This window comes from Homo sapiens, chromosome 2 (assembly GCF_000001405.40).
Source record: "Homo sapiens chromosome 2, GRCh38.p14 Primary Assembly".
Taxonomy (NCBI): Eukaryota; Metazoa; Chordata; class Mammalia; order Primates; family Hominidae; genus Homo; species Homo sapiens.
In genome coordinates this window covers 174,050,412-174,064,919 of record NC_000002.12, presented here as the reverse complement: position 1 = coordinate 174,064,919, position 14,508 = coordinate 174,050,412, and the positions used below count along the sequence as shown (strand labels likewise).

At 43.8% G+C, this 14,508-nt stretch overlaps 1 long non-coding RNA gene across 1 annotated transcript, besides 2 other annotated features; it reads left to right on the top strand.

Annotated features, from left to right (window-relative positions):
* Positions 1,406 to 2,025: an enhancer, noted in NCBI's record as "NANOG-H3K27ac-H3K4me1 hESC enhancer chr2:174927623-174928242 (GRCh37/hg19 assembly coordinates)". NCBI's record gives its function as "activates a minimal SCP1, AML or CMV promoter by ChIP-STARR-seq in primed H9 embryonic stem cells {active_cell/tissue: H9 hESC(primed)}" and the evidence as "EXISTENCE:reporter gene assay evidence [ECO:0000049][PMID:30033119]".
* LOC105373746 (uncharacterized) lies at positions 2,289 to 4,170 on the top strand. The gene is made up of 3 exons (XR_923589.3): positions 2,289 to 2,516; positions 2,886 to 3,002; positions 3,989 to 4,170. It is a non-coding gene; the product is annotated as an uncharacterized LOC105373746 (long non-coding RNA).
* Positions 12,231 to 13,430: an enhancer, noted in NCBI's record as "MED14-independent group 3 enhancer chr2:174916218-174917417 (GRCh37/hg19 assembly coordinates)". NCBI's record gives its function as "activates an origin of replication core promoter dependent on BRD2, BRD4, P300/CBP and CDK7 cofactors, and independent of MED14, by STARR-seq in HCT116 cells {active_cell/tissue: HCT116}" and the evidence as "EXISTENCE:reporter gene assay evidence [ECO:0000049][PMID:35650434]".

Below are 14,508 nucleotides of genomic sequence, written 5' to 3'. Positions count from 1 at the left end.
AGGATCCCTTGAACTCAAGAGGCAGAGGTTGCAGTGAGCAGAAATGGTGCCACTGCACTGCAGCCTGGGCAACAGAGCGAGATCTTGTCTAAAAAAAAAAAAAAAAGAAGAAGAAGAAGAAGAAGCCAATGAGAGAGGAGCAAACCCAGAGAGGCTAGTGTCAGAGCAGCTGGGAGACAGAAACGGTTTCAAGAAGACAGCAAATGTTGCTGAGCAGTTGAAAAAAATGAAGATGAAAGATGTTCTGCTTGAGGGTGGGGCACGGTGGCTCACGCCTATAATCCCAGCACTTTGGGAGGCTGAGGCGGGCGGATCACCTGAGGTCAGGAGTTTGAGACCAGACTGGCCAACATGGTGAAACACCATCTCCACTAAAAATACAAAAATGAGCCAGGTGAGGTGGCAGGCGCCTGTAGTCCCAGCTACTCGGGAGGCTGAGGCAGGAGAATGGCGTGAAGCCGGGAGGCGGAGCTTGCAGTGAGCCGAGATCACGCCACCGCACTCCAGCCTGGGCGACAGAGCAAGACTCCATCTCAACAAAAAAAAAAAGAAAAAGAAAACAAGAAAAAAAAAATCCAGCACGTTGAGAGGCCAAGATGGGAGTATCACTTGAGGCCAGGAGTTCAAGATCAGCCTGGGTAACATTGCAAGACTGTCTCTATCAAAAAATAAAAACTAAAAATTAGCTGGATGTGATGATTGTGCCACTGCTTTTCAGCCCGAGTGACAGAGCAAGACTCTGACTCTAAAAAAAAAAAAAAAAAAAAAAAAAAAAGGTGCTGCTGGACAAGTTCTGTTTAATTTGAAAGCAAGTTCAGATTACTCTTTTGAGAAGTTTTGCCAGAAAGGGGACAAGAGAAATGGAAATGGGGGAGATGGGAAGCAAAGAGGTTTTTTTGTTGGTTGGTTGGTTGGTTGGTTGGTTGGTTGGTTGGCTGGCTGTAGATTTTTTAGCAACGGAGCGTGCCGGGGCATGTCTGGATGTTGAGGGGAATGTTCCCGAGAGGAGGAGAGCTGGAGGCTGATGAAGCAAGAGGGAGAGGGGTGACGAAAGAGACCCAGTCCTTAAGAAGCTACAGGGGATGAGAACTGGAGCATAGGTGGAGGGACTGACAGTTGGTAGAAGCAGGAATGCTTCCAGTAAATAGGAGGGAAGGCAGGGCTAGATGTGTAGCTTCCATTTTCTCAATGAAATTGGAGTGAACGCCATCAGCAGAGTGGGTGTGGAAGGCGTGGGTGTGAAGGGAAAGGAGAAATTTTGACACAGCCCTCTTCAACGTGCCCTGTTGTTTTTTGTTTTTTGAACCTAGATTCCAAGAGCTAACACAGAACCCTGCAGGGCCCCCCGTTCATGAACGCTTTAGTTACTGGATTGTGTTGCTTTCACAGGGTGACAACATTTTATCAACCTGGGCGGTCTACAGCGCTTCCCAGTGGGGGTCAGTCCTAGGAGAACCAGGCCCTCTGACTCCTCTATGCCTGTTCTTTACTTTGCTCCAGGGAATAAAAAATACGAGGGTTTCAGTGTTCTCTCATTAGGCTCTGCCTTTTATCTTCCCATTTTTGTGATAAGATTCCTCAGTTCTTGCTCTCAAGAGGCCCGCCAAATCTGAGCAGTCTCTATTTGGGGCAACTACACTTCTTCGAGAAAGTTCCATCCCTTTCGTAGAATAGAGCAGTCCTGGCTGCTGATATCAATGATATAAATGGGACAGCGGCTGCGGAGAGTGACGTGTTTGGTTCCCGGCCTCTCACTGCAATCCTTTGAAATCCCATGGAAGTGCAGGCAACAGACCACCCCTTGAACTTTTGAGGCTCTTGTCTGAGTGGATTAACTAACCCTGTTTACTAATCTCTCTCTTCTCCCCCTGAGGATCCTTGTCTTTAGAATTCAGTGTTCTTTTTGCTTCAAACAAAGCCTCCAGTTTGCTGCTCTTCTGATCACAGCATGAGAGCAAGCTGATTTGCTTTGGTCAAATGTTGTGTGTAAGTGATTTCAGCCATTTGGCTTATTGTATTTGCGTCATTTTGGGGTGAATTCCAAGGACCTTGGGACATCATTACTTTAAACTTGAAAATAGATTTAATGAAGAACTGTATTTCTAGGGAAGAGACTTGGTCAAGTTTTATTTCCAAGGAAGGAGCCTATTCTGTGACTTAACTCCTACAAAGCCACGTAGGATATCTGGTTTGACTGAGGGCTTTATCCAATTTCACAATATAGCAAATGGAAGATGTATTTCCTTATTATGCACTCATTGAATAGTAATGATGAACTCAGGCATTGGGACCAGGGTCCCACCTTTCACCTGTTAATGCCTCCAGACATCACAAACACTATTGATTGTTTAACCATCGCCGTCTCACAAACCCACCACACCCCCCTTTTCCTTGCCAACAAAATCTCATTTTGCTCCATAGACAGCGAGTGTGCTCAGCTTCAGAAAATGAATCATTATGGCTCTAAATTCATCATGATATCCCACTTCTCCTTTGCCAGTGATAGGGCTAGGCAGGTGAGCCAGCTCTGGCCTGGAAAGTATGAGGGTCTGGGGAGCAGGCTTGGCAAAGCTTTGCCAGGGAAATTTTTCCTCCCTGATACAAAAAGGGAGACAAGAAAAGCTATCCATTTTGTCTCTTTTTTTTAATGTTTTGAGACAAGGTCTTGCTCTGTTGCCCTGGCTGGAGTGCAGGGGTTGCTCACTGCAACTTTTGCCTCCTGGGCTCAAGGGATCCACCCGCCTCAGCCTCCCAAAGTGCTGGGATTACAGGCGTGAGCCACGGTGCCTGGCCAAGCTATCCATTCACCCTCCTCCTCCTGCGAGGGCTTGGGGTGAATTCCAGGGCCCGCTGGACATCATTCCTTTTTTTTTATTTGAAAATAGATTTGATGAAGGACTGTATTTGGAGCTATGGAAAGGAAAACCGAGAGGCAGAGAAGCAGCCCCTAGACTGTTAGCCAATCCGGGTTGGAGCAGCCGCCCACAGACGTCATCTTTTGTGTAAGAATTAAATGCCCTCATGATTTCAGTCACTTGTAGTTGAATATTCTGTAACTTGTGGCTAAAAGCCTCCAGATACATCTGAGTTCACAGAACTTGCTATGCTCAAGAGCATATATAACTAACACCTTCATCCTGGCTTAGCAAAAACAATTCCCCATCCCCCACTTGGCTGTAAAGCTATGGTTCCTTACTAGCTTGTTAAGTACTGTTAAATACCGAAGAGTATTACAAAAGCAAAGTGTTTTCTAGAACTAGATTCTTCTGGTTTTCTAGTGCAGTTTGGCTAAGTGGGATATTAAAAATAAAATAATGTTTTAATAACTCATCTATAGAGAAGAGAATGTCAGTATTTCTAAACAACCATCTTATTTTATTAAAAAAATTTTTTAGAGACAAAGTCATGGTCTGTCACCCAGGCTGGAGTACAGTAGTACAATCATGGCTCACTGCAGCCTCAAACTCTTGGTCTCAAGTGATCCTACTGCATCAGCCTCCCAAGTAGCTAGGACTACAGGCGCATACCACCACCATGCCCAACTATTTTTTTATTTTTTTGTAGAGATGGGGGTCTTGCTATGTTACCCAGGCCGGTCTCAAACTCCTGACCTCAAGTGATCCTCCCACCTCGACCTCCCAAAAGTGCTAGGATTATAGGCATCAGCCACTATGCCCAGCCTAAATAGCTATTTTAAGGTTTTCTTCTTTAAAATGTTTTTTAAACTTTCTGGTTCAGAATTTGAGTTCTTAACTGGATCAAACTTTGAGAATTATTGGAAACCCACCATAAACAGTTACTCTTGCCTGAGGCAGTAACTTTTTTTTCTGTAAAAGCTCACCTGTATTATTAAAACCCAAAATATTCCTCATCCTTTATGGCTTGGCCTTTGTTAACCTTATTCGTCTATCACTTCAGCACTTTACCCATATTTATCACTGGAGGCTTAAATTTGTTGATATTTTTTCACACTTTTTGTCCTTTCCAGTTCCTTCATATCTTTACACCTTGTGTCCCTGAAAATGTGGGAATATGGCCAGACCTCATCGTGGGGACTGCTAAGTCAGTTTCACAGATGACAACAATGTGGAGAGTTACAGAATCAACTGATTTATCAGGTTTTCTGTTTTCATATCTTTTCCTGAGAGTACAATTAAGGCATTTATATTAAAATCAGTTCCTGAAATCCCCTGATAGTAACAAGCAAAAACAATAATAAAATAGCACTTACTCAGAGCCTAAAGTAAACCATGCAACAAGCCCAAATGAAAGAAGCATAACTTTTTTTTTTCATTCTGGGTTTTAGCTTCTAAGGTGATCCAGGCAGATTTAGTTATTGGCAGTGGATACAGGTTATTTGCTTAACTAAATGAATTAGGGGCAGGGTGTGGGGAAGAAGGAGGAGAAAGGAGGGTGATAAAAGAACACTGAACAAGTTAGGACGGAACTTTTACAGTGCAGATATGCAGGCTGATGAGCATTTCTGAAAGTAGCTTAACATATTTTCAGATTCCACATCAAGTACTGATTGCATTAAGCAAGATGAATAATTTATCTCCTTCATCACTAGAGCAAAAACTGATAGTGTAAAATTTATTATATTTTTTTTTTTTTTTGAGACAGGGTCTTGCTGTGTCACCCAGGCTGAAGTGCAGTGGCCCCCATCACAGCTCACCTCCTGGGCTCAAGCGATCCTCCTGTGTCAGCCTTCTGAGTAGCTGGGACTACTGGCGCATGCCACCATGCCTGAGTAATTTTCGTATTTTTGGTAGAGATGGGGTTTTGCCATGTGTCCCAGTCTGGTCTCAAACTCCTGGGCTCAAGCAAACTGTCTTCCCCTGTCTCCCACAGTGCTGGGATTACAGGCATGAGTCACTGCACCCAGACTGTTCATTAGATTTAACAAGTATGCATGAGCCCAGGCCTGCACCAGGCAGTAAGGACTATTGACCTACTGAAACCCAGGCCTGTAGATCAGAGATTTAAAAGTTGTTTCAATTTTACTGGAGATTCTAATTCAGGGAGGGGATTGAGTGATGACATGGAGAGGCCATGTCATTGGAAGAAGAATTTATGAGTTGTATTTGCCAAGGGATGAGGGCACATCATGCATGCAGGGCCACATGGGGAAGCACCAGGTTAGGTCAGGAAGGAGAAGTGGTGAGAAGAAAGCCCAGGCCACAGCGTTTATTGCGGTTGCCTTGGGAAAAACAAGGCGGGGCAGGAGAAACAGTGTAGGATTGGCTATTTCAAATAATTTGGGCAGGCTCTGGGCTATAGGAGTGGTCTGTAGTTGTCTGGTACCTGGCCCTGGGTGATTTCGGGCAGAGGAAATACTGGCTGGTGTGTAAGAGTGAGATAAGGAAGTGTTTGGGAGTATGGACTCAAATGATTGGTTAGAGGGTTTGTAATATGATTTTTGTGCATCTGGGAAACCTGGATTGCAGAGGAAATAGAAATAATCATGGCCATTAATTTGGCCTTGTGACTAATGAATACCAAACAGACAAATACAGAATCTAAGAAAACACAAAACAAAAGTCCACATGATCAGAGCGTCTCAGTGAAGATGAATCATCTTACATAAACACACAGCTTAGAAACTGGCCCATGCACCAGGCAGCACGTGGAAAAACAATTAGCCACATGGCTATTCCATGTCTTCATTCTAACAATGTGTAGTGAAGCATTTGGTCTTGCCCAGAGGGTGATCTGGCCTTTGCCCTCAGCTTCTGGGATTAACCTCAGTCATAACTTATAAGAGTATCTTGGTTTAGGGGATGAGATAACCACACTGGATCCTGGGGTACATACTGGCCATGCCAGAAAGACCCAGCAGTGTGATTTAGGGTGAGAATTTGGGTCATGTAGTGTCAGCTGACTTTCAGAATGAGATCAGCCATGTGGGCAATCAATAAACCCATCAGGCCTACAGAATGAAGCTCCAATAAAAACTCTGGACACTGAAATTTGCTTGTACCTCTTTGGTTGACAGTACTCAAGGTGTATCCTCACACACAGATGCCAGGAAGGTAATGTGTTCTAACTCCACAGGAGAGGACAATGGAAGCTTCATGTTTGATAAGCCTCCCAGACTGCCCTGTGTGTCTCTTTCTTTGGCTAATTCTAATCTGTATCTTTTCTCTATAATAAATCAAAACCATGAGTATAATAGCTTTCAATAAATTCAGCGGGTCCTCCTAGTGAATTATCCAATCTGAGAGTAGTTTGGGGGAATCCCCCAAAGTTGAGGTCAGTGTCCAAAATGAAAGCAGGGTTAGGAATTGTGACCTCAGCCTTTGCAGTTTGGCTGACTCTGGGCTTTATTTTTTAAAAATAAAACCAAAAAGAAAGATATTAGGTAAAAAATGGAGGGTTCTCCTCCCTTCCCTGGCTTTCTCCAGAGGATTTCTCTGTTAACTGTTTCCTTCTGGTTTATCTTTCCAGACATTTTCTGTATAAATATAAACATGTATGCACAGTCTCTTTTTAAATCATAAATGAGATTGTGCTCCATAGCTTTCCCTGAAACTTCCTTTTATCACTTCCATGTCATGAGTATTTTTTGTGTCAGCACATCTGGACCTATTCCTGAGCTTTTTGATGGCTGAGTGATATTTGTTTGTAAGGCTGAACTCTCCTAAGACAGGAACCAAGTCTAAGGGATCTTGAGAGATCACGTGACTTCATGTGCATAGAGCTCCTAGAAGAATGCTGGCACAGAATAAGCAGGCACCACGTGTTTGTTCTCATTTATTTGTTTATGTAGCCAGCCCTCTCTTGTGTACATTGAGATTTCTAATTTTCCCATTATTCCCAAAAGGCTGCAGTGAATATGCTTGAGCTTCTACATATACTTTCACATTTAGGATAAATTCCTGGGAATGGAATTGCTGGATCAAAGGGTATGCATTGCTGGGTGGTGTCAAATTGCTGTCTGAAACGGTTGTACCATGGCCGGGCACAGTGGCTTATGCCTGTAATCCCAGCACTTTGGGAGGCCAATACAGGCAGATCACTCGGGGTCAGGAGTTAGAGATCAGCCTGGCCAACATGGCAAAATCCCATCTCTACTAAAAATACAGAAATTAGTTGGGCATGGTTGTGCGCACCTGTAGTCCCAACTACTTGCGAAGCTGAGGCAGGAGAATTGCTTGAACCTGGGAGGCAGAGGTTGCAATGAGCCAAGATCATGCCACTGCACTCCAGCCTGGGAGCCAGAGGGAGATTCTGTCTTAAAAAAATAAATACATACATACATAAATACATAAATACATAAATCAAAACAAAATAAAATAAAATAAAATAAAATGGTTGTACCAGTTAACGTTCCCACCTCACCCCATGGTGTGCTCGATTCCCAGACCCCCAACTACTGAGCATTATCAACCTTTTTAGTCTTTACCAATCCAATCGATTTTTAACATTTCAATCTCCTTGTGGTTTAGTTTGCATTTCTTTACTGGTGAAGTTGGCTATCTGTTTTATATATTTGTTCATTTACTTTATTGAACTTTTTTTTTCAGGCTGCTTGTTCGTGTACTTTAATATTCTATTTGGTTTACACAGATTTCCCCATTCCATTGGAAACTGATATCTTGAGCGAGATTCAGGCAACATGAAAAGGTACCGGGATGCTTTCCCAGCCATCATTTCCATGCCATCGTGACTTCCACTATGTTTTAAATTTCCTTAAGGAAACAAAGCAAAGCAAAATGAAAAACAGTGAAGACTGGAAAGAGGGATTAATTTTCTCTGGTTGGTTGAGGAGCTTTTATTTGTTTGTTTCCTCCTCTCATCTAAATAGATATCCTTTATTTTACCTTTATTTTAGGAGTCTCTCCATTGCTCCAGTGTGGAAACCAACCCACCAGGAACTGAGTTATTTTATTCTTTAATTTAAATCAATCTGACAAATAAATATCCTTTAATTTCTCAACCCAGCATAGATGATGGTATGTAACAGACTGGTAAACCACTTTTGTGTTTTGGTAAATTTTTTGCACTTTTATAAGGCTGAATTTCCTTACCAAAAGTAGTTTGTTTGACTTACATGTTGTTTTAAAGATATATCTATTTTTTTATTTTTAGGGTTTTTTTTTTTCAGAGATGGGGTCTTGCTGTGTTGCCTAGTTGGGGTCTTGCTGTGTTGGCTAGTCTCCAGCTCCTGTGCTCAAGCAATCTTCCCACCTCAGTCTCCTGAGTAGCTGGGACTATAGGTGTGTGCCACTGTGCCCAGCTAAAGATGTATTCTTGATTTTCAAGTGCATTTCACATTTTGCAAAGAATATTTGCATAAACTCCTCAAGAATTTGGTTTCTTCAAAAAGGAAATGGCCGGGCACGGTGGCTTATGCCTGTAATTCCAGCATTTTGGGAGGCCAAGGCGGGCGGATCAGGAGGTCAGGAGTTTGAGACTAGCCTGACCAACATGGTGAAACCCTGTCTCTACTAAAAATACAAAAAAAAAATTGCCAGGCATGGTGGTTTGCACCTGTCGTCCCAGCTGCTAGGGAGGCTGAGGTGGGAGGATCACTTGAGCCCGGGAGCAGAGGCTGCAGTGAGCCAAGATCATGCCACTGCACTCCAGCCTAGGTAACAGAGCAAGACCGTCTCAAAAAAATAAACAAAAAACAAAAATGGAGAGAACCCAAGATGTGGTCCTGCCTTTCTTCGAACCTCCTTTTCTTCTAATATTGACCTCCTAATTGGGGGTCCTTGTTTGTCAACTGTACAGCCTCCTTCTTTCCTCCTCTCATTTCTCAGAACTTGTGACAGTTGGTATATGGTTCATACATACTGGTTTATTTCACAGTTTTACATATTCAGATCCATCTTTTCTCCCCTGTGAAGTTATAAAGCTCTTATAGATTAGGTGCTGTATTAGTTATACAGTGCTGCATAACAAGTCACCCCAGATTTACATCTTCAAACAACAATAACATTTATGACCTAGCAGTTTTTGCAAGCCAGAAGTCGGTGGAAGCAGCTCATCTGTGCACAGCAATCCAAGGGCCGGGCTGGAGCTGCAGACAGTACTCCCGAGGTAGCTCACTCTCGTGACCGCAAAACTGGAGCTACTCAGTTTCTCACCATGTGGACTGTTTGGTGGAGCTACTTCCCAGAGCCACTCAGGAGCCCTCATAACATGGCATCTGGCTTTCTCCAGAGTGAGTGACTCAAGCAAGAGCAAGGCAAAAGCCATAGGTCTTTTATGGCCCAGGCTCAGGAGTCAAACACTGTCATTTCCAAAATATCCTATTGGGTACCTACATCAGTTCTCCACAGGGTCATGAATACCAGGAAGCAGGAATCATTTGGGGCCATCTTAGAGGCTGGTTACCACAGGGACCCTGTCTTTTATTCCTTCTGTATGTTATGCCATATAGATCAGATTCTGGCATAGGCATAATCAACCCGAACTATGCAGAAATATCATAATGAATCAAGAAGCAAATTCTGCCGGGCGCGGTGGCTCATGCTTGTAATCCCAGCACTTTGGGAGGCCGAGGTAGGCGGATCACCAGAGGTCGGGGGTTCAAGACCAGCCTGACCAACATGGAGAAACCCCATCTCTATTAAAAATACAAAAAGTTAGCTGGGGATGATGGCACATGCCTGTAATCCCAGCTACTCAGGAGGCTGAGTCAGGAGAATCACTTGAACCCGAGAGGTGGATGTTGCGGTGAGCAGAGATCGCGTGATTGCATTCCAGCCTGGGCAACAAGAGCAAAACTCAATCTCAAAAAAAAAAAAAAAAAAAAGGAAGCAAATTCTTTTTATAACTCATGACTGTGAGTAAAAGGACCAGTCTTGGGTCAAGTTGCCTGGGAGACATCTCCAAGGCAGACACTAGCATGCAAGAAGTTTATTGCGGAAAAGAACCCTTTGGATCACCACCGCTTGTTGGGGAGCGAAGGAACTAGTATTGGGATCAGGGAATTGTGGAGCAGCAAAGGCCTCAGCCAATCCCAAGGAAAGCTCTGGCGCTAGGATGGCCCATCACAGTATTTACACCATGAAAACTGGCAGTGCTACAAATCAGAGTTGTTGTTATTTTTAGACACAGGGTCTCGCTCTGTCACACGGCTAGAGTGCAGTGGCACTATCATATTAATAGATCACTGCAGCCTGAAACTCCTGGGCTCAAGCAATCCTCCCACCTCAGCCTCCTGAGTAGCTGAGACTACAAGTACAGGCCACTGTGCCTGACTAACCTACTTTTTCTAGAGATGGCTGTCTCACTATGTTAACCAGGCTGGTCTCAAACTTCTGGCCTCATGCCATCCTCGTACTTCGACCTCCCAAGGCACTGGGACTATGGGCATGAGCTGCTGCACGCAGTCAAATTAGGATTTTTGAAATCCCTGATTTAAACCTTAAGTTGGTTATTAATAATTTACCAGTGCACTAGTGATCTTTTGAATCCCTTTTCCTGAGATCCTGAATGTAGTATCTTGTCATGTTAAAATTTCTGAGAAGTCCCACAATAAGGAAATTTGTTTAACTTTGTGAAATAAACATTTCCCAAACATAGGACGTTGGTATAAATTTTGGTGCACAGACCCAAGTGTCTAAGAAGCTATTTAATTTCTGATTTTGACTCCCTTTTCTTCCAGATTGATGAGGGAAAAAAACCACCACCACCACCTGGTTCTCACTTGTTGATCCACTCAGGCACTGCTCAGACGCCCAGAATCCCTGTTCACAGGATCTGCCAGGTCTGAGGACTGAGCTCAGTTTCTGGGAGATGCTCGAGGGAAAGGGATCCTCATCCTCTGGGTGGGGGTGCATGCTTCCCTCCCTGTGATTCAGCCTCTCCTATTTCCCACTGCCTCTCAGGCCTGTTTCACCCGTTCTGCCTGACTCCTGAAAGCATTTGCGTTTGCAAGCCCAGTCTAGGTGCACTTCCTGACCACTTTGTCTCTGCCACCTCCCTGGTGCTCTGCTTGCAGGCTGGGCCTGGGGCTCTCCTGAGCCACAAACCCTGGCTTCCTCCCTCTCCCCTCTTCCTTCCCCGCCCCCTACTTCTCTTCCAGACTCCTGTTTCCCTACCGCATTCCTCCTCCCCTTCCCTTTTCTCCTTTTCTTCCTGTCTCCCTTCCCCTTTTCTTCTCTCCTCAAAAACCCTTTCCAGGCTGGAGTAAGTCTCTCTCCCTTCATCCAGCCTTTGCTTGAGAGTCAGCTGAATTCTCCCAAGGACTTTGGCTTTGTTTCCGTCCGATCAGCAGCCTCCAGAAGGTAATGAGCACTGTGCCCCGCCTGCTTCAATGGGGGAGGAACGGTATGGAATTGGGAGGGACGAGAAAAAGTTCCTATCTAAAACCCCCTTTCCCTCCACCACACTGATTTGACTTTGGAACAGTTTTGTGGAGCACAGTTCAGGGAAACTCTGCAAGTGCTTCCCATGGTCTCTTGCAAAACCAGCGGGTGCCAAGGAGGTGCCAGAGTGACCTCTGGGCTCACAATCTGTGACAGACAGTAAGACAGTCTGGAAATACTTTCATCTCAGCCCTTCAAGGGATTAGGTACTAAAGGGGAGGGAGGGTAGAGCCTGGGAATCCCAGCTGACCTGGAGTCACTGAGTCCCGGGGGGCCGAGGGCCGATGGGAGAGGAGTTGCTGTTCTTGGCGGCTGTTTGAAAACTTTCATACAAGATCGCATCATTCTTCATCCCGTTCACTTGTGTTTCCACAGGTACTGCTTTCTGAGGGTCTGGGTGGCTCCTTGGAAAAGGGGTCTGGGTGGCTCCTTGGAAAAGGAGTCTGGTCCCCACTGTGATAGTATTAAATACAAGTCTCTGAAAACGTCTTAAAATCCCTCCCAAAATTAATGCATTGATTTAGAAGTGAGACCAAAATGTGAAGACTTCACCAGTCTAAAATAAATTCAAAACAAGTTAAATGAGCATGACCGAATAGCCAGCCATTTCTAAATTGTTCATTTCACATAGTGTAGCCTTTACAGTGGTGGCAACTATGATAACAGATCCTATGACTTAGATAAGATCAACAAATTACCAAGTGCTAATTGTTTCTGCTGGGTGTAGGTGAGGAGATAAATAGCTTGTAAATTAAACAGCAGTGCCTAAGGGTGCCATTCCTGTACTCACACGGGCTGCTCCGTGCTCTCCAGCAAATAATTTCCTCTTATCTCATAATTAAACATTTTTACCTTTAAAAACCACAATCATTAGTGAATATGTTATCCTCCTAGTGCCAAATTTAAAAGAGGAGAAAGGAGATAAGAAGCAGTAATCTAATAAACTGAATGACAATGTCATTTCATCCTTTTGCAAATCATCGAAATATAGGCTTTCTGTCTTGGGTGGTTATTGGGCCATCTATGCAGCTTTTCCATAAGCAGCTCCTGCGCCAGTGCTGAAGTGTGGCAGTCGTCAAATCCAGAGCCTGTGTGGCCTGGAGCCTGTCAGTAAGTGCTCATGTGCCGCAGCTGTTCTCTGTTGTTTAGGATCTTGCCTCAGATTCGCTTATAAATGGCATTTATAACATCAAACTTATTCAGTGCCCGTTAAGATGTTTTAGCTTTATCATGAATGTCAACCGCTCCTTTTCCAGCTTCCCATCTCAAGGGAAGACCATGAGAGCTGAATATCACTACCACATTATTTTACTCCAAGTGCAGACATACAGTGCAGTGCAGTGCAAAGAGCTGTTTTCTTTCCTTCCCTTTGTTTTCAAAGTTCAGTCTCTGAACGTCTGGTTAGAAGAGTGTTATCTGGATAATGTTTTTCACTCTGCGCTAGTTATGGTATGTCCTTGTGTTAGAAATTCTAAAGACAAAAATGTGTCCATTCCTTCTTTGTTCATCCATCCATCCTTTCATCCATGCATTTATTTCATCGTTTATTCTTCTCATGTTTATGAAGTTCTTTTGGTTCAAACCCTGTGCAGGGCGCTAGATGAAAGGCAAATGTGCGTGGGGCACATTTCTTTCTGCTGAGCTCAGAGGGAGAGGCCAAAATTGTAAATACTGATTACAGTAGAAAGCACTGTGGAGAGGCCCCACCCAGCTTGGGCCAGGCAGGAAGATTCCAATGAGGCAATGATAAAACCAAGAGGAGCAGCAGAGAACAGCGGCTTGCAGCCCCCTGGCTGAGCTAGCTTCAGAGGCAGATAAATAAGTGCCTGCCAAGTCTCGGGTATCAAGTACAGGCTTGGCCAGGGGTAGCCTGCAAAGATGAAGCCTTTGACCTGGGCTATCTCATTTTATTCTCCTGGTAACCTGTGATATAGGCTCTTCCCTAGCTACTCTGCAGTGGGGAATAAGAGAAACAGGGGAAGAAGTCCTGGCTGCCCCTGCCTATTGTGACTTTGAGAAGGAATTACCCTCCCAGGGCTTCAATTCCCTGATATGTTACATGGGGATCATAACAGTTTCTACCTCTCAGGTTTGTTGTGAAGATTACATGAATTTACACATGTGAAGCATTTAGAATAATGCATGAATTCAATAAATAGTAACTATCATTACTCATCTTACTAATTAGGCTTAGTGAGCATAATTAAGTGACCCGAATTATCCAGCTGAAAAGAGGCAGAGCTAGGGGTCAAACCCCTTCCTAACCTACAGTATTGTGTGCAGCATACCACGGGACCACACAGGATGACCACTTAATTAAGACTGATGCAACCAGGGAGGGCTTCCTGCAGGAGGTAGCATCTGAGCTGAGTTTGGAAGAAGGGCCTAGAGTTTGCCAGGGAAAGAAGTGGGAAAAGCATTTTAAGGAGACTAGCAGAACGTGTAAAGGCCTGGAGGCATGAGCAGGCCTGGTATATAGCAGGACCGTGGTATGGCCAGGGGGTGGAGGAGTTTAGATTGGACCCTGAAGGCAAAGCAGATTCTTTGTTTTGTTTTTGGTGCTAGTAATTAGTGTGTTTATTTGAAGAGTGGGAAAAAGTAAAAGAGAAACTTAAAAATACAGGTAATTTGTATTTACAATTTATTTACTGTTTTTCTTTAAATGACTTGTTCTTTTTATTTAAATTTATTTACTGATTTTCATTTTTATTTTTTAATAAATAGAGATGGGGTCTTGCTTTGTTGCCCAGGCTGATCTCCAACTCCTAGACTCAAGTGATCCTCCTGCTTCAGCCTCCCAAAGTGTTGAAATTACAGGTGCGAGCCACCACTCCTGGCGTAAATTTACTTTTGAACTATATCACAACCATAAAATGGAAAACTATAGTGCCAGATATGTTTTGGAATTCAGATTTTTTTCTGATTTAGAAAGGAGATATAGAGCATACGCCCTGCAGTAGTTAACACCCCCAGAAGCCAAAGAATCAATAAATATTTCTCAGAGAAATGTATGACTATTTACACCAAGTAGGACAGAAGCTATATATAGCTTGCCTCAAGGAGCTTTGGCCCCAACATTACAAAAAAAGCTTTCATTTTTCAGAGATTTGTAGATTTTAGAATGTGGATGAGTAGTCTCACTTGCTGGAACTAGAAGGTAACAGAAAATATATTTGTTGCATACAAA